Source organism: Homo sapiens, chromosome 10 (assembly GCF_000001405.40).
Source record: "Homo sapiens chromosome 10, GRCh38.p14 Primary Assembly".
Lineage (NCBI taxonomy): Eukaryota > Metazoa > Chordata > Mammalia > Primates > Hominidae > Homo > Homo sapiens.
The window spans coordinates 119,774,935-119,798,376 of NC_000010.11; the positions used below are offsets into that span (position 1 = coordinate 119,774,935).

Below are 23,442 nucleotides of genomic sequence, written 5' to 3' on the forward strand. Positions count from 1 at the left end.
TATAGTAAAGGCTCGATGTTAGTTTTTTTCCTCACTGTTTCAGTCTAACACATAGATCAAAAAATAAAAAAAACTAAACTAAGTAAAATTTGTAAGGAAATAGATATCTACACGTCATAATCTAAGTTCTCTACCTTAATTTCTCTCTTCTTTGGAAAATGGTATGATGATAGGTGGTTGGAATTTTTCTTCACTCAGATTCTCTTTAGGTTTCCTTAGGGGGAAAAATCAATCAAAGAAAAATTTTATATATTTGATTATACTAGAATCTAAAATTTTTTTTGCCATTTATTTCTGGAAGAAACTGGATTATCAAATATAATTCTTTTTTCTTTTTTTGAGGCAGCATCTCTCATTCTGTTGCCCAGGCTGGAGTGCAGTGGTGTGATCATGGCTCACTGCAGCCTCGACCTCTCTCGGCTCAGGTGATCCTTCTACTGTCAGCCTCCTGAGTAGCTGGAACTACAGGGTTGCTCCACTATGCTTGGCTAATTTTTAAATGGTTTTTTTTGTAGAGACAGGGTTTCCCCATATTGCCCAGGCTGGTCTTGAACTCCTGGGCTGAAGTGATCCACCTGCTTTGGCCTCCCAGAGTGCTGGGATTACAAGCATGGGCCATGGTGCCCAGCCTCAAATAGAATTCTAACTCAGGTTTTTAACCCAAAGCCCATGGGGTTTCTTCTTTACTTTCTAGATTTGGAATTCTTTTAAAGACAAGTACAGAGTCATTGGAAAAAAAAAAAGTTGAACATCATAGAAGACTGAGTCATTCATTGATAACTGTTGGGCCTAAGTGGTGGGTGGATTTGGTTTGATTATATTGCTCTCTCTACTTTTATGTATGTTTGAAGATGTCTAAAAGGGAAGTTTAAAAAAAATCCTATCGGCCAGTTGCAAGCCTGGGGCACATTATTTGAATGTTTCTTAGTTTTTCAACTATAGATTGGAAATGGAATCTGTTAGCAGGGTGTAGTGGTATTAAAAATATAGACATAAATTGCCTGGTGATACTTATAGTAGATGTTCAGTAAACATTAATTCTTAGGAATAGCATCATGAATTATACAAATTGTTAATCCTCATAGCCATTCTCTGAAGTAGGCAGCTTTATCCCAGTTTTCATATGAGAAAACTGAGAATTGGAGCAGCTAAGTATTATGCTTTGAAGTATACAAGAAGCAAATGATGGAGCTAAAATTTGAGTCCAATTTCTGACCTCAAAGTCTAGGACACTTGAAGCCTCCTTGAAAAAGGAAGGCTACTATTGACAAAGCTTTGTTTCTGTTACATTATATTTTCTCAGATTTAATCTTCATCATAACTGCAAGGCATATTGAATATCTGTAACCTTTTAAAAAGAAGCACATAGATTTTTCACATTTTTGTATATGAGTAGTTAACTCTAAAAAAATGTGTATTTATTTTAAAATATATTTGAATGTGTAAGTTGAGTTTAAGTATTGGCAATACCATGTTTTTGTGGGAAAAAAGATGCCTCTTGGTTTTCCAGGTGAGTTTGTATATGAGATAAAACCTGTGTTTGAAAGTTAAAAATTTTATATTTTTGGTACTATACCTTTAGATGGTTTATTGGAAAGATACTATATTTGATAATGTACATTGTATTTTTGTTATTGAATTTATTAAAATCATAATTTGTAATGTCGATATGAAATGAATCCAGAGCAAATCAGGGCAAGAAGATGTAAACTAGGAAGGGCCTTCCTCTGTGTGTGTGTGTGTATGTGTGTTTGTGTGTGTGTGTGTGACCCACAGAGAGAGAGAGAAAGAGAGGTCCTTGAGTCATAAAGATTTCTTGTTTATTTTTTTTTTAGAGACATAGTCTTGCTCTGTCATCCAGGCTGGAGTACAGTGATCCAGTCATAGCTCACTGCAGCCTTGAACTCCTGGGCTCAAATGATCCTCCCACCTCAGCCTCCTGAGTAGCTGAGACTACAGGCATGTACCACCATGCCCAGATAACTTGTGTATCTTTTGCAGAGATGGGGTTTCGCCATGTTGCCCAGGCTGGTTTCAAACTTCTGGGCTTAAGCGATCCACCCACCTCAGCTTCCCAGAGTGCTGGGATTTCAGGCATGAGCCACCGCACCTGGCCTCAGCTAATTTTTAAAAACAATTTTTAAAGGGCTGGTGCCTTGCTGTGTTGCCAGGCTGTTTTTGAACTCCTGGCCTTGAGTGATCCTCCCTTCTCAGCCCCCCAAAGTGCTGGGATTACAGGGATGACCCACCATGCCTGGCCCAACTCTAAATTGTTCACTGTAGGATAGAAATGGCCGGGCGCAGTGGTGCACACCTGTAATCCCAAGCAGTTTGAGAGGCCAAGTCGGGCGCATCACAAGGTCAGGAGTTCGAGACCAGCCTGGCCAATATGGTGAAATCCCGTCCCTACTAAAATAACAACAACAAAAAAACCCACAAAAATTAGCCAGGCGTGGTGGCGGGCGCCTGTAGTCCCAGCCACTTGGGAGGCTGAGACAGGAGAACTGCTTAAACCTGGGAGGCAGAGGTTGCAGTAAGCCGAGATTGCGCCACCGCACTGCAGCCTGGCAACAGCACGAGACTCTGTCTCAAAATAAATAAATAAATAAAATAATATAAGTTAGAAATTATTCCTGTGATGTTAAGAGACCTAGTGTAAAGATTTCTTTTTATTCAACAAAATTTATTGACATTGAACAGTTTATTATCTGTTATGTGCTTTTTAAGAAGATTTACATGTTAGGTTTGTTACCAAGCACCTAAAGGGTAATGTTTCACATAACACCTACAAGATGCTTGGTAATGTCCATTCATGCCTGATGAATTTCCTAGCACATGGTAGGTCTTCAGTTAATGTTTAATGATAATAGGGAAATGGCCTATAAAAGCCTTAAAACTTTGGAGTAAATTTCCACCCTACTTTATAAGGAATTATGAAATGTTTCCAAACTTCTGCATTTATGAAACGCTTAAAGCATATCTCCAAAGCACCATTTCTAAAATGAAAGTTGATCAGTACTTGGGGAATAAATGAGGGAAATGAAAATATTATATATCCTTTTTATTTTTATTATTTATTTATTTATTTTTGAGGCAGGGTCTCACTCTCTTGCCCAGGCTGGAGTTCAGTGGTGCCGTCTCGGCTCACTGCAACCTCTGCCTCCCAAGTTCAAGCAATTCTCATGCCTCAGCCTCCCGAGTAGCTGGGATTACATACGTGCACCACCATGCCCGGCTAATTTTTGTTATTTTTAGTAGAGACAGAATTTTGCCATGTTGGCCAGGCTGGTCTTGAACTCCTGGCCTCATGTGATCTGCCCTCCCTGGCCTCCCAAAGTGCTAGGATTATAGGTGTGAGCCACTGCACCCAGCCTATATATCCTTTAAAAAAATTGTTTTATATGGGAAATATATGGTGTTATTTTTCTATAATAAATTCCTGAAACACAATTTCAATAATTTTTGGTTTGGGGTCTAATTGGGGAGTACTTTTTAATGGTGTAGTCTCATAAACTGAAAAATTGATTTGCATGCTGTCTTTCATAGACTATTTTTTGTTTAATTAAAAATCTCTTGTGAGAAGTAGAAATTTGGATTGGAAAGACTGGGTGTTTGCTTCTTTCTGTCTTGTGTTTATTAAAGGTTTCTTTAGGTTGTTTTGCCATTTTCCCTCCATTCTCCTCATTATATTTAGTTCTCTGTTCAATCCTAGTGTACACACAAAGTAGTTGGAGAATTACCAACCCATACTCTTCTGAAAAATAAATTTAGTAACCAGAGTACAGTAGTGCATACGGTTCTTTTTGTCTTTATTTTTACCAAATAGTTTTCTGAAGTTAGTTCAGTTAGTTTTTTCTTCTCTATCTCCTACAGTTTAGTTCTATTCTTAATTTTTAATAGAGTTGGATTTGCAGTTTGAGGTTCTCCCACATTCTGGTTGATTTGAACTATTTATTTTAACGGATATGTGAAACATTACCGTTGTTCTAAGAGTCAGAATTCTACTCAGAGACCAGTCATTTGCCAGGGCATACTCAGAGAATTGTCATTTCCCCTTCATCTCTTTTATCCTATTCCCATCCCCCTCTTCTCTGTACCCCGTTTCCACCTACTCTGTGGAGATAACTAATCTCACTGACTTCTGGTTCTCTCCTCTTCTTGTTTTTGTACAAATGGGTGGATACATATAGTTATGCATCACTTAATGAGAAATGCATTGTTGGGCAATTTCATCTAAACATAGAAATGGTACAGTAAAAATACTGTACAAAAGATATGGTATGAAAGATAAGAATGGTACACCTGTATTGGGCATTTACTATGAATGGAACTTGCGGAACCAGAAGTTGCTCTGGATGAGTCAGTGAGTGAATGTGAAGGCCTAGGACATTATCGTACACTACTATAGACTTTATAAACATCATACATGTAGGCGACACTGACTTTAAAATCTTTTCTTTCTTTTTTAAAAATTTTTTTGGGTTTTTATTTTTATTTTTTTATGAGACGGGATCTTTCCTTGTCACCCAAGCTGGAGTGCAGTGTCATGACCATGGCTTATTGCAGCATCAACCTCCCAGGCTTAAGCGATCCTCCTACCTCAGCCTCCCGAGTAGCTGGGACTACAGGTGCGTGTCCCAACTCCTGGCTAATTCTTTAATTTTTTGTAGAAACGAGGTCTCCATATGTTACCCAGGCTGGTCTTGAAGTCCTGGGCTCAAGCAATCCTCCCACTTTGACCTCTCAAAGTGCTGCAATTACAGGCATGAATGAGCCTCCATGCCCTGCCAGAAGTTCTTTCTTCAATACTAAATTAACCTTAGCTTACTGTAACTTTTCTACTTTATAAACTTTTTAATGTTTTAAAACTTTTTGACTCTTCTGTAATAACACTTAGGTTAAAACACAAACACATTGTACAGCTGTGCAAAAATATTTTCTTTTTACCCTTATTTAACTTTTTTTATAAGTAGGAGTATACCTAAAATAATGGTAAAAAGTACAGTATAGCAAATATGTAAACCAGTAACAGTCATTTATTATTATCAAGTCTTATGTATAGATGTAATTGTATGTTGTATACTTTTCTATCACTAGCAGTGCAGTAGGTTTATACCAGAATCACACAAATGTGAAATGTGTCATGCTACATTTATGATGTCACTACGTGATAGGAATTTTTCAGCTCCATGATAATTTTAAGGGGCCATTACTGCATATGTAGCTCATCGTTGACTGAAACATCATTATGTGGTATGTGACTGTATAGATATATATCACCTCATATTTTCTTCCTTACATGAAGGGTAGTACACTCTAGGTATTCTTTTATGCTTTGATTTAATAATATATTTTATTGGCTGGGCACGGTGGCTCATGCCTATAATCCCAGCACTTTGAGAGGCCAAGGCTGGCAGATTGCTTGAGCCCAGCAGTTTGAGACCAGCTGGGGCAACATGGCAAAACCCCATCTCTTAAAAAAAAGTACAAAAATTAGCTGGGCATGGTGGTGTATGCCTGTGTTCCCAGCTACATTAGAGGCTGAGATGGGAGGTTTGCTTGAGCCCAGGAGGCAGAGGCTGCCATGAGCTGAGATTGCACCACTGCACTTTAGCCTGGGTGACAGAGTGAGACCCAGTCTCAAACAAAACAAAACATATATTTATTATGTTATTATAACATAGCCTTATTATGTACAGTCGGCCCTGTGTATCCATTGAGTTCTGTGTCTGTGGATCTAACCAACCACACATGGAAAATTTTTGGAAAAGATGGTTGCATCTGTACTGGACATGTATAGACTTTTCTTTCTCATCATTATTGCTTAAACAATACAGTTTAAAAACTGTTTACCATAGCATTTAGATTATATCAGGTATTGTAAGCAATCTAGAGATTATTTCAAGTATATGAGAGGATGTGCATAGGTTATATACAAATACTACACCATTTTACATGAGAGACTTGAGCATCCGTGGAGTTTGGTATCCACGGGGGGTCCTGGAGCCAGTCCCCTGCAGATACCGAGGGATGGCTGTATGTTAATAATATATTCAGGTTATCTACTAAGTGCATCCAGGAATCCTTCCTTATTAATTCATAGAATACTTTTTTGTTTTTTTACAGCTGCATAGTACTCCATTGCATGGATGTGCCATAGTTTATTCAACCACTGTCCTGTATCTGGACATTAGGCTGTTTCCAGTGTTTATTGTAATTATAAAATAGGCTTCAGTGTATATACTTTGGTTGTTGAGGTGTACCCTCAGGGTAAATTCCCAAAGATGGGATCACTGGACTGATTAAAGGTAAGTGCATTTGTTGTATTGTTAGGTATTGCTAAATTTCCTTCCAGAAAAGTTGTGTTTGTCATCGGTATTCTCACCTGCACAGCTGTTTTGAGTTTTCTCACAGTCTCGCCAGCACATGTGTTGTCATTCTTGTTAATTGTTCCCAATCTGATGGGTGAGCATGGTGTCACAACTGGTTTTAATTTACATTTCTCTAATTATGAGTGAGATTGAACATCTTTTCACATGTTTAAGGGTCATTTTATGTCTTTGTGACATGTTTTACTTTAAAAGTTTATTTTGGATGCACACTTTTTTTTTTGTTATCATTGTTAGGTTATTCACCTTCAACTTGTCAGAACAGTAGCACTCTAAAAACGCCAGACTTTATTATGACTCTCCTCTTTCAGATCTTCCATGGTGGCTTATTCTAATTCGGCAGAAAGCATTGGTGGGCAAACTCCCAGGAGACCATGAGGTCTGTAAAGTTACCAAAATTGCTGTGCTCTCACTTTCTGAAATGGAACCTCAGGATCTTGAGCTAGAGGTAGGTGAAATAAAGGGAAATTATATGGAAACCTGATATAAATGTAATAGCAAATATGAGGATTTGGTTCAGTAGACCAGAAACTTACATTTTTAGAGCTGGGTAATGTTTTTAAAATAATTTAATCCTAAGATTTTCCAACTTAGTAGTGGAACTCTTGTCTCAAAATCCATGAAATCTAGTGTAGAAGACACATAAAGGCAGGGCTGCTGTGGTCGCAGTAGTGTTGGGGGAATCCCTGGGGCTCTGTCCACTTGATCTCTCCTGGGAAGCCACCTTCTGTTTCCAGGGTGCCCTAGGGCTCTGCACAGTACAGTTTGAAAACTTCTTAGGGAAAAGGAGTGAGTTAAGAAAAGGAGAGCTCTTATTATATCCTCTTTTGTCTGCATTTCTTGAAAATTTTCTAAGCATATATTACTCTATTAAAATTTACAAAGAAAGTTTTTTAAAAGGAAGACAGTCACTCATCTAATGTAATCTCTTTATTTTCCAGAGAAGAGCTCAAGTCCACAAGTAGAGTGATTTAAGGATGGAATAATGAGATTGTCTAGGGCTAGTGTTTTTTACCACAAGGTGCTGCCTCCTAGTAGAAGTAACCCATGAAAGCATTTATGTCCTGTTTGCTCTTAGTATGGGAATTAGATGCCTAGTAATTGTCATCACTCCGATTGTTTTGTTCACTATGTGATGTGCCAGGTGGGCCCTGTGTATTACATAGATGATAATATTTAGTCCCCAAGACCCCCCTATGAGGTAGACATTACTACAAATAAAGGAGGCTAGGTGGGTGGCTCCTGTCTTTGACAGGCTGAGGCTGGAGGATTGCTTGAGCTGAGGGGTTCGAGACCAGCCTGGGCAACATAGCCAGACCTTGTCTTGTGGAAAAAAAAAATTAATGAGTGAATGGATTTTAGAAAATAAAATAAAAACAAATAAAGGAGGCCTGGCAAGGGTTAAGTCACACAGCTGGCAGAGGTGGGGCCTGGATCTAGACTCAGGCTGCCTGGTCCTATATAATTCTGCTGAGCTGCCGCCCTGTTACCTGAACATCAGGTAACAGCAAAGCACACACTGCCCCACAACTCAACACATGTTTTTCCATGTAGAGTTCTTGGGGAGGAACTTTGGGGACAGGGTTAAATTGCCTTAAGAATAAGTAAAAATAAAACTATTTTTATGCTTCAAATGTCACTGGAAGTTTGACAATTGAATTTTAAGAAACAAAATGAATTTAAGTGGACTCTGATATTAATTATTTGTTACAGGAATCGAAAAAAGTTTGGAGTTCTTAATTCTCCTTTTATTGGTACTTATGCTAGAACACTATTCACTATTGCTGATCGAGAGACAAAAAACCTAGGTGGCAATTAGGCCTATTAAAAGCAGATGTTTGCAGTTTTTGTCTGCATTTTTTTTGGGTGAAGAGCAGCCAGACTAGCAAAAATTTTGTTAGTTTCCTAAGCCAGTAAATTTGCTGGCAGTGTCTTTTGGATGGTTTTGCTGACACACTGAAAGATCAGGATGGCTTGTTATCACAGACCTTTCCCTTGAGGGTGGGCACCCCTTTGGCCTGGCATTCAGGTTTGAGCACTAAGACTGGGGTCTCTGGCAGTTTGATTTAGAGATGGGAACCAGCCCGCCCAGCACTTTATCCATCTGCCAGTCATGATTTGCATATTTGGCACTCCCAGTTCTTCGGAAATTAAATGTCACACATCATCCAGAAAAGGTTGGGACCTTTGTTAGGCCTTTCAGGGAGGTGTTCTGATGTCCTTCATGGCCACCAATCTGTAACATTTTTGAGACTAGTAGCTGACTATTCAATAAAAAGGGAAAAAACCAAGATGGCTTTAGGAACTAACATTTACATGGAGTCTTTAAGGGCAAAAGTGTGAATATTATCAAAGCTTTAAGAGCTTCTTTATTCTTCATACTTTCCCTTTTTTCTCTCTCGATAGTCTAAGGGAAAGAGATTATATTCAAATAAAAAGGAAGTGAGATTTCCTCCATTGACATAATTATTTTTACAGCTGTTGGGCTGTACAGTATAAACTACCGTACTTCTCAGGGCCAGCGAGATCGTGGTTCACGTTAAGAGTTGAGTATACGTAACGACTCTTGCTAATTGGGAGTAAAAGTAACTACAGAGAAAGTATTTCCAGGTCCTATCTCAGTGAATAGTTTGGTACACCTTTCTCTCAAGAGATTAAAATTTTAGAAATTTACACTTTTGCCATTTTTTCTTTCCTTTTAATCCTGTTTTATGGTAAAGGAACTTTGCAACAGTGAACAACAGGAAGGGCAAAGAACCACATGTTGAAAATCACAACTTTATTATCTTTTAACATGTTAATTTAAATCTTGGTATCTATTTCAATTTCCATATAACTCAATTTAAAAGAGTTTTTAGAAGCTTAATCCTTTTTAAATTGTTTTTTGGTTATACAGTAAATTGTAAAAGAGAAGAAAAAAAATTCCTCCACTTGGAAATAATTGTTATCAATATTCTACTGAGTTTTGGTGGGTGTTTCCATTTGTGCCTAGGCTCTTTGGAGGACCAGTGTTACTTTCACATGTTTCAGAATAGTTTCTCTGTTTTGCACTTTTACATATTTCCCTCTAGTCTTATTATTTTTTTAAGAACATAGGAAGACTTTGTTAAACAAAACTACTTATTTCTCCTTAGTATGACTTTCTGATTTGGATGTCTGTGTATCAGTTTGAATAATCTGCATTTATTCCAGCAGCATCCTTTAATGTGGTCACTGTTCCCAGATTTGCTAAAGCCTAAGTCTGTGTTCTGTAATTGGAGCAGAAGCAATCTTATTTCAGAGACGGGTATTAATAGAATTTCTAGTTTTCTGCCTCTGTTGTCTTTTTATCGCAAATATATGCCTTATTTGTTTGCCAGTTAAAAAAAATTCACATACCATAATTCAAATACCTTACAGTTCACCCGTTTAAAGTATGTAAGTCAATGGTTTTTAGTGTATTCAGAGTCATGTGGTTATCACCACAATCAATTTTAGAACCTTTCATCATCCCCCGAAAAAACCCTGTCTTCGTTAGCAGCCACTCCTCACTTCCTCCCAAACTCCAGCTCCCCAGCACCATGCAACCACTAATCTCCTTTCTGTCTCTGTAAATATTTGTCTATTCTGGACATCTCATAGAAACGGAATAATACACCACGTGGCCTTTTGTGATGGACTTCTTTCACCTAGCATAGCTTTTAAGGTTCATGCCAGTTGTAGTGTGTAGCAGTACTTTATTCTTTTTTATTGCCAGATAATCCCTTGTATGGGTATGTCATGTTTTATTTATTTGTTCATCAGTTGGTAGACATTTGAGTTGTTTCCACCTTTTAGCTATTATGAATAATGCTATTATAAGCCATTTTGCATACAAGTTCTTGGTGGTATATTTGTTTTAATCTCTCTTGGGTGTGTACCTAGCAATGGAATTGCTGGGTCATATGGTAACTCTATCTAACCTTTTGTGGAACTGCCAGACTGTTTTTTTTTTTTTTTTGGAGACGGAGCCTCGCTCTGTCGCCCAGGCTGGAGTGCAGTGGCACGATCTCGGCTCACTGCAACCTCCGCCTCCCGGGTTCAAACGATTCTCCTGCTTCAGTCTCCCGAGTAGCTGGGACTACAGGTGCATGCCACCACACCCGACTCATTTTTTGTATTTTTAGCAGAGATGGGGTTTCACTGTGTTAGCCTGGTTAGATGGTCTTGATCTCCTGACCTTGTGATCCGCTCGAGAGAGAGAGAGAGAGAGAGAGAGAGAGAGAGAGAGAGAGAGACTGAGACTGACTTTGCCTGTAATATCAGCACTTTGGCAGGGGGCCGAGGTGGGAGGATTGCTTAAGGCCAGGAGTTCGAGACCAGCCTGGGCCACATAGCAAGACCCTGTCTCTATGAAAAATTTAAAAATTAGCTGGGCATATTTGTGTGTACCTGTAGTCACAGGTACTCAGAAGGCTGAGGCAGGAGGATTACTTGAGTCCTGGAGTTTGAGGCTGCAGTGAGCTGTGATTGCACCACAGCACTCTAGCCTAGATGGTGGAGTGAGACCCTGTCTCTAAAAAAGAAAAATTAAAAACCTGTATAAGGGTATGAAGAATCTGTAATGGTTTAAACAATGAGGACTTAGTTGTTGCTTCTTTAGAAAAAAAATACCCTTTAAAGTTATATAGGCTTATGTTCCATGTCTGCATATCTTATTTGCGTATCTCATTGCCTTAATGGATAACCGCATCATTTTCCGTATTTAGTTTCCATCAGACACCTGTTTAAAATTTTAGCTTCAGATGGATGTAGGTACCAGCTTTTCACATAAAATTATTTATGTCCCTTTTCTTAAATGGCAGCAGCAACATCAACCCTTAGTCTCGGTCACAAGATGTAAGTTGCAAGCGTAATTTAAAAACTAGGGAAGTGCTGTGGAGCTTGTGGCTGTGGTGTTGTCTTTTTGAGATCGCGTGTTTCAGAGTTGTGATAAGGACCTAACCACATACCACACAGAACTGGCTGGGCCTCTGGAAAAGGGAAGGTGATCCTGTTGCCAGTGCTATGCATTGTAATCCCTGGGGCTCTGTGTAAACAAAATACCTTAGGACTGGGAAGGAATCCTAAGAAGTAATTTTCTCTATCCCTGTTTTTTGTCAGGACTGAATTTAACCTTTTCAGAAAGGTAGTGCTCTATACTTTATTTTCTAAAGATAACTGTGTAGCAGATTCTAACATACTCACTGGAAATGTTTGCATTTATAGTAATCTCATTTATTTGTTTGAGACAGGGTCTTGCTCTGTCACACAGGCTGGAATGCAGTGACGCAATCATCCTGCCTTCAGCCCCCCAAGTGGCTGGGATTACAGGCATGTGCCACCACCCCCTGCTAATTTTTTTTTTTTCTATTTTTTGAAGAGATGGGGTCTCACTATATTACCCATGCTGGTCTTGAATACCTGGGCTTAAGCAATCTGCCTACCTTTACCTCCCAAAGTGCTGGGGATTATAGGTGTGAGCCCCTGCACCTGGCCAGTAATTTTAGATTTTTATTTAGAAAAAATCACTTTTAAGAGACAGAGAAAACCTTCCAGTGAAGGTGTTTCCATGAGTTTGAACTTTGTTATACAGATCCACAATCCTTATCTGAACTTCTTGGGGGGCCATATTTGTTTTAGAATTCAAGTTTTTTGGGGTTTTCAAAAGGTTATTCCCTGTATTTTCTACCCTCTAAAGTGGTTCTGGAGCATTACCCCACGATAAAACACATTAATGTTTCTTAAACAATGGTATGAATGTTCATACTAAGGGAGGTAAGTGATGATTATCAGTATCTTCATATCAGTTCAGGGCATGCTTTGCCATTAAATGAGTTTTTAACTTAAAAGATACACTTTCAGGTTTTAGAGTTTTTTGGATTTTGGAATTGTACATAAGGAAGTTAAGGGATGATGGGCTTATATTAACTCTGTTTCAAGCCCAGGATGAGGGTAGATAAAAGAAATAAAAATAGAAAAGACCAGGTGTGGTGGCTCAAGCCTGTAATCCCAACACTTTGAGAGGCCGAGGCAAGCAGATAACTTGAGGTCAGGAGTTCAAGACCAGCCTGGCCAACATGGTGAAACCCTGTCTCTACTAAAAATACAAAACTTAGCCAGGCATGATGGCATGTGCCTCAGCTACTCGGGAGGCTAAGGTGGAAGAACCGCTTGGATCTGGGAGGCGGAGGTTGCAGCAAGCTGAGATCGCGCCATTGCACTCTAGCTTGGGTGACAGAGTGCGACTCTGTCTCAAAGAAGGAAAGAAGGAAGGAAGGAAAGGATAGAAGGAAGGAAAGGGAAGGGGGAGGGGAAGGGGAGGAGGAAGGGAGGAAGGCAGGCAGGCAGGCAGGAAGGAAGGAAATGCCAAGCTTAGAGAATAAGCATTTTTTAAAGTAGATCAGACTGAAGCCAGAGGCCTTTCTGGGTCTGCATCTAGAAGCAGACAGTAGCAGGTGGGAATTTGGCCCCTACACAGTAAAGAGGACTAACAGGGCTTCATGGGAGATGGGATCCTGGGGCCATGCTTAGCACTTGAGGCCTGGTGCTCAGGTGGAACTCCCTAGATCATGAGGGGAGCTGTTAGAGTGTCTGCACTGAGTTGGATAATCCTGCATAGAACATCTCCTGTGTGCCATGCCAGTAGCATTTCCATGAAGAAATACTGGTCTGGGCAAAAGATAGGGATCTGAATCAACACCATAGCAATGGGCATGAAGTGGTTGGGGTTGATAGGAGAGACTTAGAGAAGGAGAATGATGGAAGATGATTCCAAGGTTTCTTGCTTAAATGATCCAGTGGGTGGTGCAGTCATTACCTGAAATAGGGCATACCAGAGAAGGAACAATATTTGGGGAGCAGGTGTTGCGCAGTTCTAGAGATGCTGAGTCTGAGGGTCTAGTGTGTCTCAGTGTGGGGGAGACGTCACATGCATCAGTCTTGAGATTAGGGGAAAAGAGTGGAGTTAGCAAAGGTAGTAGTAGTTAAAATTAGGAAAGAAGGTGACATTTTCTAGATGGAGCATGAAGACGGAGAAGAGAGTTAAGGGTAGAACACTGGGAATACCATCAGTTTTAGAGAAGAAAGATACACCCACAAAGGAGACTGAGAAGGAACAGCCAGAGATGGGGAAGGACCCCGAGAGATTGTTGTCATGGGGACCAGAGGAAGAGACAGCAGGGAGTGTTCTTTCATTCCGAGAGAGTTAGGAGGCCTAAGCAGTGTCATCAGAGCCTTTACTCCTTGACCTGCCCCAATCAGACTATAGTCCTTACAGTTCCAGTGCCTGGGCTGGGACACTGTACCCTGCTGGCTCTCAGAGTGGATTCCATGTTTGAGGAATGGATTTAAAAGAAGATTCTCACTTGTGTAAACATGTCACAAGGTGCTAGGAAGGGGGCTATTAGAGGTTGGGACAAAGGAAAGGGGTGAATGATGAGCCCAGGTCCTAATCCCAGAAACTAACCTTGAAGAGAACAATGGACTCGGTCTTTCTGAGTGAGGAAAACCTGGGTGCAGACTAGGTGTGCTGTTGCACATTTACTTGAAATAGCGGACCTTTGATAGATTCCTGGGGGGAAATTTTTGCTGGCTTGAGTGCTCTTAAAGAATGATTTTGTTGGCCGGGCGCAGTGGCTCACGCCTATAATCCCAGCACTTCGGGAGGCCGAGGCGGGCAGATCATGTGAGGTTGGGAGTTCGAGACCAGCCTGACCAACATGGAGAAACCGTGTCTCTACTAAAAACACAATATTAGTCAGGCATGGTGGTGCATGCCTGTAATCCCAGCTACTCGGGAGGCTGAGGCAGGAGAATTGTTTGAACCCAGGAGACGGAGGTTGTGGTGAGCCGAAACTGCGCCATTACACTCCAGCCTGGGCAACAAGAGCGAAACTCTGTCTCAAAAAAAAAAAAAAAGAATGGCTATGTCTGTGTATCCCGTTTTGAATACTAAAATTGTAACAATCTGTAGCTCGGTTTTGAGCAAGTAAGCATGTTTTCAGGTTTTTAAAAGAGTTATTCATATGACTAATCACTGATATTTTATATAAAAATTGCTAGCCAGCAGTTGCCAAGTGCCACAAGCAAAGTAGTAGCAGGAGACCAAAGGGAAAGCATCTTTTTAAAACTGCTGCTCTGCTGCCCCAGTGATGCTGTATCAAGGAGGGTGGGGTGTGTACAATGTGTTCATGGGAGAAGGGGAGTGATGGTCGTGAAAGCTCCAATGGCAGCTACTGCTAAGGCACTGGAGGTAGGAGTCAACAAGACAAAGATCCTGCCTCAACCTCTGGTTTTGGACATGTTGAGTTTGAGATGTCTGGTAGACATCCCAGTGGAAATGTTGGGATATGTGAGGCTGGAGTTTTGGGAGAGAGCTGGGCTCGAAATAAACATTTGGGAAGGTGGGGTTGGCATAAGGACAGTATTGGAATCCATGAGTCTGGATGAAATCACTGAGGGAGTGAATGCAGATGAGAAGGGGATGAGGGACCAAACGTTGGGGCACCTAGACATCAAGCAGGAGGCTGGAAAGGAACTGCTCAAAGCGGCAGAGGAGGAGTGACCAGTAGGAAGGAGCCAGGTGAAGCCGTGTGTTGTAGGATGAGGGAGGGACTCAGACGCTACTGAGAGTTAAGAACCAAGAGCATTGGATTTAGCAAAGTGGAGGTCATTGAGCATGCTTCAGACAGCAGCTTGGGAGAGTGGTAGGGGTGAAAGCCAAATCGGGGGGTGGGGTGGGGGGCGAGTTGGGGAGAGAATGGGAGGAGTGGAGCTGGAGGTACTGAGGAGTGCAGAGTGAGTAAGAGGACAGCAGTGGCTGAGGAAGAGGAGTCGCTCGGGGGTGTGCAGAGGAGAGGAGCGGAGGAGGATGGGCCTGTGTGCTGACGGAAACGATCACAGAAAGAGGGATGCCATGTCCATAAGCTTGGTTCTGTCTTCTCTCCTTCCGTGTCACCTGGAATTCTTGCTAGTTTTGCTTATTTGAAGGGAAATAAAGTGAGCTGTTCTGGTAATAGGAGTATAAAGCTTTTCTCCCTCATCTTTAGTTCCCTTGTCTTTAATGGTAGGGCAGGAGCAGCTTAAAGCTGTAATCATGGTGTGAAACCTGTGTGGACAGTTTTTGATAGCCATGATTTTGAAAAGGCTTGAAATCATCTGGAGATCCCATTGCACATGAAAATTTGGTCCAGTTATTAGTTTCTACTTCCAAATTTGATAAAACAGGGATTCTCTCTCTCTCAATCAAAGCTTAAACTCGCTTTTCTTCTCACTTTATCTTAATAGTTATTTTGTAACACACTGATGATAATAAGCATTTAGTAACTATTAGTTCTTATTAAGAGTCTCCTACTTAGTGTAGCAATGCAACTAGTTTGTTGAAAAAATGGAATTGGTCTGCATATTGTTAACAGAATTTGTGTGTACATTTCAGAATATTTGCTTTGTTTGCTGAGCTACATGAAATTATATGTAAATCCCTCAACTTTAATCAGGTAGCCTTCTTTAGAACCTTCTGTGCCTTCTCTTCTCTTAACATAGCCGTATTCACGCTCCCACGCCCTTCCTTACCCTTGTCAGCTGTGCGGCACTTCTCCTGCAGCCCCTAATTACTGCTTCTTCAAGTTTAACTAATCTCCGGACCCAAAGTGTATGTTATTAAGCTGATTTCATTAGTGCATGTGAGCGTAGGAGGAGAGGGAGTGGTTGAAATGTCCAGCTTTTAGGGCTCCCACTAGAGCAGGCTCTTAAGCCATCTTCTCAACCAAAACACTCAATTAGCATCAGTATTTAGCACGGATACCTGTAAAGTCATAACCCTGAAGCATAGCAAATGTGCATTTTGCAATTTTTAAATTCTTAGATACTAATTTCCAAAGCATTAATAACCTCAGCCGGAACATTTCACTCTTCAGTTATGTTAGAAGAGAACCGATTATGAGCCTAACCTGAATTTTCCACCTCTAAATCCTAAGTATATCCTGCCCTGTATTCTTTGTGTTTTATCCTCTGCTATAGCTTTCTCATCATGGGACTCATAGTTGTGCTTGCCATCAATTGTCTACTTGATAATTTTTCTAACTCTTGAAGTTTACTGTTAATCAGAATGCCTGAGCAGTAGCATTCACTTTTGCACTCGAACATTTAACAAACAGGTATTAGTAATAACAAATCATCTTTCTCTTCCTATTTAGCTCTGTAAGAAGCATCATTTTGGTATTAACAAACCAGAGAAGATCATACCATCTCCTGATGACTCAAAGTTTCTACTGAAGACCTTTACGCATATTAAATCCAATGTGTCTGCTCCTAATAAAAAGAAAGTAAGAGTTTAATTGATATAGGCTTTGAATTCACCTTTGATTAGTTTTAAATAGAGAGATAATTCTCCACTCAGAAAATTTATTTTTAAACCATTTGTTGTATTGAAGCACCATCTCCTTATGCCCTTGGGATTATTTTCACTTCTGTCTTAGGAATTTATGTGTTATCCCCAGACTACTTTACATTTAATTTCTGTAGTAATAGTAGATTAATTTCTTATAGGTTAAGGAAAGTAAAGAGAAGGAGAAGTTGGAGAGGAGATTACTTGAAGAGTTGCTGAAGATGTTCATGGACTCAGAATCCTTTTATTATAGCTTGACCTATGACCTGACCAATTCCGTGCAGAGGCAGAGCACTGGGGAGAGGGACGGTCGGCCCCTCTGGCAGAAGGTACCACTCACAGCTCGTAGAGCAGGGTTTGCACTTGGGAAGAAGTGATGGCCTGTTTTGGCTTTTGTAGGAAAACTGAAATAATGTGTTTCTGAACTATTGTTCCTGCACCTTTTCTAGGTTGATGACCGATTTTTTTGGAATAAATACATGATACAAGATCTTACTGAGATTGGTGTGAGTAGTTGTTTCTAAAATTTCCTAACCGTAATGAAATTGGTCTGTTTGTTTCTAAAACGTCTGGTTATAATTGTTAAGCAAATGTTTTTTAATTATATTAAGATACATTTTTAAAGATCACTACGTTTTCCCCTATGGAATGGGAATCATTTAGCCAGGAAAACCAAGGCATTATTTTAAGGCAGTTTACAATTTCACTGCCTCGTCACAGGCCTGTCTTTTTAGCACATTCCCATAGGATAATGGTAAGTTAAGGCTGTGGAACTCATGTTCATAGACTTCCTGCAAAAGAGGTATTTTCTTTCTACCCATTGGGAATGTTTGAGCCCAGTTTTCCTGAAATGGTACCAGTTTTTTTTTTTTTTTTTTTTTTAACCTTCGCCGGACTTCTGTTTTCTATCTGGGAATTGGAATAGCCAAATCTCTGAGGCCATTGCTGTACTACCAGTATTTGATAGGGGGAAGATACAGAATATGATGAGATTATTGCAAGAAGTTCCTTTGGTTTGATGATTATTTTTTTCCTTTTCTTGGTCATGTATGTTGGAAAATTGACTGTCTAAAGACAATTCATTCAATCAACAAATATTTATGGAAGGCCTGTTATGTGCCACTTGTCTTTTAGACATTAAACAAAGCAGGCAAATAGGTGAATAAAGTCATATGTTATCTTTTAACCTTTCAGAAATTTCACACCTTTTCCTTTTGGTTTCTCCCCTTTAGTGGTGGTTAGTATCAATGATTTTCACATAATCTAGTGGTGTCTTCGCTAGATACCCATCAATTGCCTCTATGGAGAATGAGGCCTGAGATTATTCTTACCTCTGTTTGCAATGCTGATCAAACTGTGACCACCAAAACCCAGTGGTAGAGGAGAAAAGCAGGGGCATCTGTAATGAGCATTTGTCCTGTGTGCTGACAATATCGAGCTCTAACATGTTTTGCCGAGTTTTTGTCAGAATGCTTTTACATTACCATTTAAAACTGACGACTTGAAGTCGTCATATTCAAAGGTGACATTTGGCAGCATAAATTTCTCTATGCCTGTCAAGAGTTTTGCATTTATTGCTAGAACAGAAATACAAATAATGGGAATGGTGATAAGAATGCAGGTAGATCCTTTACCTCACTATTTTCAACTTTAGCCACCTTCCTAAGATCCTATCTGCAGGCTGCATAAAACAAAACAAAACAAAACAAAACAAAACAAAACAAAACAAAACTGAGATAGGACCTGGAGTGTTTGGTGATGGAAGAAGAGGTGGATTTGAAGTGGATGCTGAGATTAAGGCTGGGTACACTTACGGAGATAAGAGAGAAAGGACAAAGAAGAACTCTCTGGAGCATTTTTATCCTTTACTGTCTCTGCAGATAATAAGTTGAGAAATCTGTCTTCTTAGTCTGAAAGAGACAGAAGAAGAAATCTTTATTTTATTTATTTGTTTTTTTTGACACAGTATCTCTCTGTCACCCAGGCTGGAGTGCAGTGGCACGATCTCAGCCCACTGCAACTTCACCTCCCGGGTTCAAGTGATTCTCCTGTCTCAGCCTCCCAAGTAGCTGGGATTACAGCTTGCGCCCCAGGCCCAGCTAATTTTTTGTATTTTTAGTAGAGACGGGGTTTCACCATGTTGGCCAGGCTGGTCTCAGACTCCTGGCCTCAAGTGAATAGCCCACCTCAGCCTCCTAAAGTGCTGGGATTACAGGCATTGATCCACTGCAACTGACCAGAAGAAGAAATCTTTAATCAGTACTCTCCTAATTATGTTGGATGACATTTTATTTTTATTTTTATTTTTTATGTTTGCATTTTCTTTTTTTATTGATCATTCTTGGGTGTTTCTCGCAGAGGGGGATTTGGCAGGGTCACAGGACAATAGTGGAGGGAAGGTCAGCAGATAAACAAGTGAACAAAGGTCTCTGGTTTTCCTAGGCAGAGGACCCTGCGGCCTTCCGCAGTGTTTGTGTCCCTGGGTACTTGAGATTAGGGAGTGGTGATGACTCTTAAAGAGCATGCTGCCTTCAAGCATCTGTTTAACAAAGCACATCTTGCACCGCCCTTAATCCATTCAACCCTGAGTGGATACAGCACATGTTTCAGAGAGCACAGGGTTGGGGGGTAAGGTCACAGATCAACAGGATCCCAAGGCAGAAGAATTTTTCTTAGTGCAGAACAAAATGAAAAGTCTCCCACGTCTACCTCTTTCTACACAGACACGGCAACCATCCGATTTCTCAATCTTTTCCCCACCTTTCCCCCCTTTCTATTCCACAAAACCGCCATTGTCATCATGGCCCGTTCTCAATGAGCTGTTGGGTACACCTCCCAGACGGGGTGGTGGCCGGGCAGAGGGGCTCCTCACTTTCCAGTAGGGGCGGCCGGGCAAAGGCGCCCCTCACCTCCCGTACGGGGCGGCTGGCCAGGTGGGGGGCTGACCCCCCACCTCCCTCCCGGACGGGGCGGCTGGCCAGGCGGGGGGCTGACCCCCCACCTCCCTCCCGGACGGGGCGGCTGGCCAGGTGGGGGGGCTGACCCCCCCACCTCCCTCCCGGACGGGGCGGCTGGCCGGGCGGGGGGCTGACCCCCCCACCTCCCTCCCTCCCAGAAGGGGCGGCTGGCCGGGCGGGGGTCTGACCCCCTCCCCACCTCCCTCCCGGACGGGGCGGCTGGCCGGGCGGGGGGCTGACCCCCCCACCTCCCTCCCGGATGGGGCGGCTGGCCGGGCAGAGGGGCTCCTCACTTCCCAGTAGGGGTGGCCGGGCAGAGGCGCCCCTCACTTCCCGGATGGGGCGGCTGGCCGGGCGGGGGGCTGACCCCCCCACCTCCCTCCCGGATGGGGCGGCTGGCCGGGCGGGGGGCTGACCCCCCCACCTCCCTCCCTCCCGGACGGGGCGGCTGGCCGGGCGGGGGGCTGACCCCCCCACCTCCCTCCCAGACGGGGCGGCTGGCCGGGCAGAGGGGCTCCTCACTTCCCAGAAGGGGCAGCCGGGCAGAGGCGCCCCTCACCTCCTGGACGGGGCGGCTGGCCGGGCGGGGGGCTGACCCCCCTACCTCCCTCGCGGACGAGGTGGCTGCCAGGCGGAGACGCTCCTCACTTCCCAGACGGGGTGGCTGCTGGGCGGAGGGGCTCCTCACTTCTCAGACGGGGCGGCTGCCAGGCGGAGGGGCTCCTCACTTCTCAGATGGGGCGGCCGGGCAGAGACGCTCCTCACATCCCAGATGGGGCGGCAGGGCAGAGGTGCTCCCCACCTCTCAGACGATGGGCGGCCGGGCAGAGACGCTCCTCACTTCCCAGATGTGATGGCGGCTGGGAAGAGGCGCTCCTCACTTCCTAGATGGGATGGCGGCCGGGCAGAGACGCTCCTCACTTTCCAGACTGGGCAGCCAGGCAGAGGGGCTCCTCACATCCCAGACGATGGGTGGCCAGGCGGAGACGCTCCTCACTTCCCAGACGGGGTGGCGGCCGGGCAGAGGCTGCAATCTCGGCACTTTGGGAGGCCAAGGCAGGCTGCTGGGAGGTGGAGGTTGTAGCCAGCCGAGATCATGCCACTGCACTCCAGCCTGGGCACCATTGAGCACTGAGTGAACGAGACTCCGTCTGCAATCCTGGCACCTCGGGAGGCCAAGGCTGGCGGATCACTCGCGGTTAGGAGCTGGAGACCAGCCCGGCCAACACGGGGAAACCCCGTCTCCACCAAAAAAATATGAAAACCAGTCAGGCGTGGCGGCGCGCGCCTGCAATCGCAGGCACTCGGCAGGCTGAGGCAGGAGAATCAGGCAGGGAGGTTGCAGTGAGCCGAGATGGCAGCAGTACCGTCCAGCTTCGGCTGGGCATCAGAGGGAGACCGTGGGGAGAGGGAGAGGGGGAGGGGGAGGGGGAGAGGGAGAGGGAGAGCTGGATGACATTTTAAAATAAGACATTTATGAAATGGGTTTTTTCTTTTTGGTTTCATTTATTACTTAGATTTTAGCTTCAGGAATTGAGACTTTTTTTTTCTAAGCCAGAAAATAAAGCCGACCTATGTGTTTTATAATAAAGTGATCAGAGTTGGTTGTATTTTATTAAAGCCTTAATACAATTGGGAGTTGAGAATCATAATCATAAACATTTGTTAAATACTTCCCATATGGCAGGCACTGTGCTAAACACTACGTGTATTATCCATTTAATTTTCACAATTCATGAAGTAGTTGTTACTATTTCACGGAGAAGGACAGCGACGGCAAGGGTGACTCCCCTCAGTGAGTTAATAAATGGTGAGCTTGGATTTGTACCCAGGCAGCCTGGCTCTTAGGCTGTGTTCACCATAAAGAAAAGGAAAGACCTCCTCTGTCCGTTCCTTACGTGGTGTTCTTCAATAAGCAGAAAATATGGTTGAATAATGGAAGGTTTCTGCTTCTAATAAACTGAGAAATATGTGCTGACTACTGTTTGGGTTTAAGAAAGTAGCAGTGCTGTACAGAATAGAAACGATATCATGTTCATTTTGTTTTCAGACTCCAGATGTGGACTTTTGGATTATCCCCATGATCCAAGGTTTTGTGCAGATTGAAGAACTTGTGGTTAATTATACCGAATCATCTGATGATGAGAAAAGCAGCCCAGAGACCCCCCCTCAGGAGTCCACCTGTGTAGATGATATTCACCCACGATTTCTAGTGGCTCTCATTTCACGCCGAAGTAGGCACAGAGCAGGTGAGTGGAGGGCTGTAATAGCATTCAAATCAAATCCAGGCGAGAATGGAAAAGCTGCAGATGTGTTGAAATGCTAATGACAATAATGGATTTGGGAACACAGTTGGCTTCAAAGTGCTTGGGGACTCTAAATACTGTGATGTAATTGGGGACAAATTTTTGAAGAGGGGTGAATAAGAGAGAGTTAGCAAAATGAGAAGGAAAAGGAGGTACATATATAGAGAGAAGGGAAAAAGTCACTTGAGATGTGCTTCAGAATACTGGCACTCCACTGACAGCCTGTATCACCGTGATAAATCCTTCCTATGTGCTAGTGCCTTTGGGAAGACCTTTCTCTTTCAGTTCAGAGGAACTGAGCTTCAACTTGTTAAAAACAATGATGCATACAGTTACGATTTTGGGTAAGTTGATACTGTTCTGCTTGGCAGTTGCACACTGAATCCCCAAGGCTATCCTGGAAGACATACATTTGATTAGGAAGCATAATCTAGCCAGACTAAATAAATTTTTTAAAATGTTGCTGTTTTCTGTTTTAATTTTCTTTCAGGAATGCGCTATAAACGAAGAGGAGTGGATAAAAATGGAAATGTTGCCAATTATGTGGAGACTGAGCAGTTGATTCATGTTCATAATCATACCCTGTCATTTGTTCAAACACGAGGCTCTGTGCCTGTCTTTTGGAGCCAGGTTGGGTATCGATATAACCCAAGACCGCGGCTGGACAGAAGTAAGCAGGTCAATTATTGGGTTTGCAAATGATGATTTCAGAGAGAATAGTTTTTAAGAAATTAGTTACCTGTTAGGTTTGGATTTGCTTTGCCAGATACTTCTTTCAAAACGATAACTTGTATTTGAAAAATGTAATAGAAAGTAATGTAATAATCATAGTAAAAATAGTTGACTAAGTCATTTATTTAACAATAAAAAATTTCTCTAACAGTAGAGCAAAACGGCTTACCTCAGAGATTTTAAATTGCTATCGCTTTGAAGAGTACTTTATTGAATGTTTAACTTTGGAAAGGAGCGAATCTAGCCAATATTTGTAGAAGCAGGAACTATCTTAAGATGGAATCTACCAAAAATCAATAAGATGCCTTTACTCAAATATTTTTCTGTGAAAGTTTTTTTTTTTGTTTTGTTTTTCTTTTTTAATCGAATATTTTGTTTCTTCTAGTATTTTAACTTTGGTCTTGGAATAGCTAAGTCATTTAAATCTAATTAGATTACTGAATGAGCTTGATTTTAAAAAAAATGTTAAAGTAAATTTCTCTCTCAACTTAGTTGGTATTCTTTGTGAGAATTCAGTAAAGCTTTGGTTTTTAAAATATTGTTTTAGAGGGGTTTTTATTCTCTTATAAACTACGTGAAAACTTTTCTGAGAAGTAGGCTAGATATATAAATAATCTTATAATGTCATAGTTTGCACTTTCAGATATATTTTAGTGTAGTGTAACTGGAAAAAA

At 42.0% G+C, this 23,442-nt stretch overlaps 1 protein-coding gene across 29 annotated transcripts in view, besides 1 other annotated feature; it reads left to right on the top strand.

Moving 5' to 3' along the window:
- INPP5F (inositol polyphosphate-5-phosphatase F) overlaps positions 1-23,442 on the top strand; it is a 103,098-nt gene that overhangs the window by 48,885 nt on the left and 30,771 nt on the right. For 18 of the 29 annotated variants that reach the window (NM_001441001.1, NM_001441011.1, NM_001441009.1 and 15 more), the window contains 6 exons: positions 6,701-6,837; positions 16,583-16,711; positions 16,935-17,102; positions 17,223-17,279; positions 21,781-21,979; positions 22,527-22,706. In NM_001441001.1, the coding sequence (NP_001427930.1) occupies positions 6,701-6,837; positions 16,583-16,711; positions 16,935-17,102; positions 17,223-17,279; positions 21,781-21,979; positions 22,527-22,706 (870 nt within the window). Of the gene's footprint in view, positions 1-5,088; positions 5,254-6,024; positions 6,309-6,700; positions 6,838-16,582; positions 16,712-16,934; positions 17,280-21,780; positions 21,980-22,526; positions 22,707-23,442 lie in introns of those variants that run through there. The other 11 variants (NM_001441002.1, NM_001441015.1, NM_001441013.1 and 8 more) reach the window with 10 other exon arrangements.
- Positions 11,203-11,497: a silencer, noted in NCBI's record as "tiled region #8600; HepG2 Repressive DNase unmatched - State 5:Enh, and K562 Repressive DNase unmatched - State 8:EnhW". NCBI's record gives its function as "represses a minimal TATA promoter and a strong SV40 promoter by Sharpr-MPRA in HepG2 and K562 cells {active_cell/tissue: HepG2 | K562}" and the evidence as "EXISTENCE:reporter gene assay evidence [ECO:0000049][PMID:27701403]".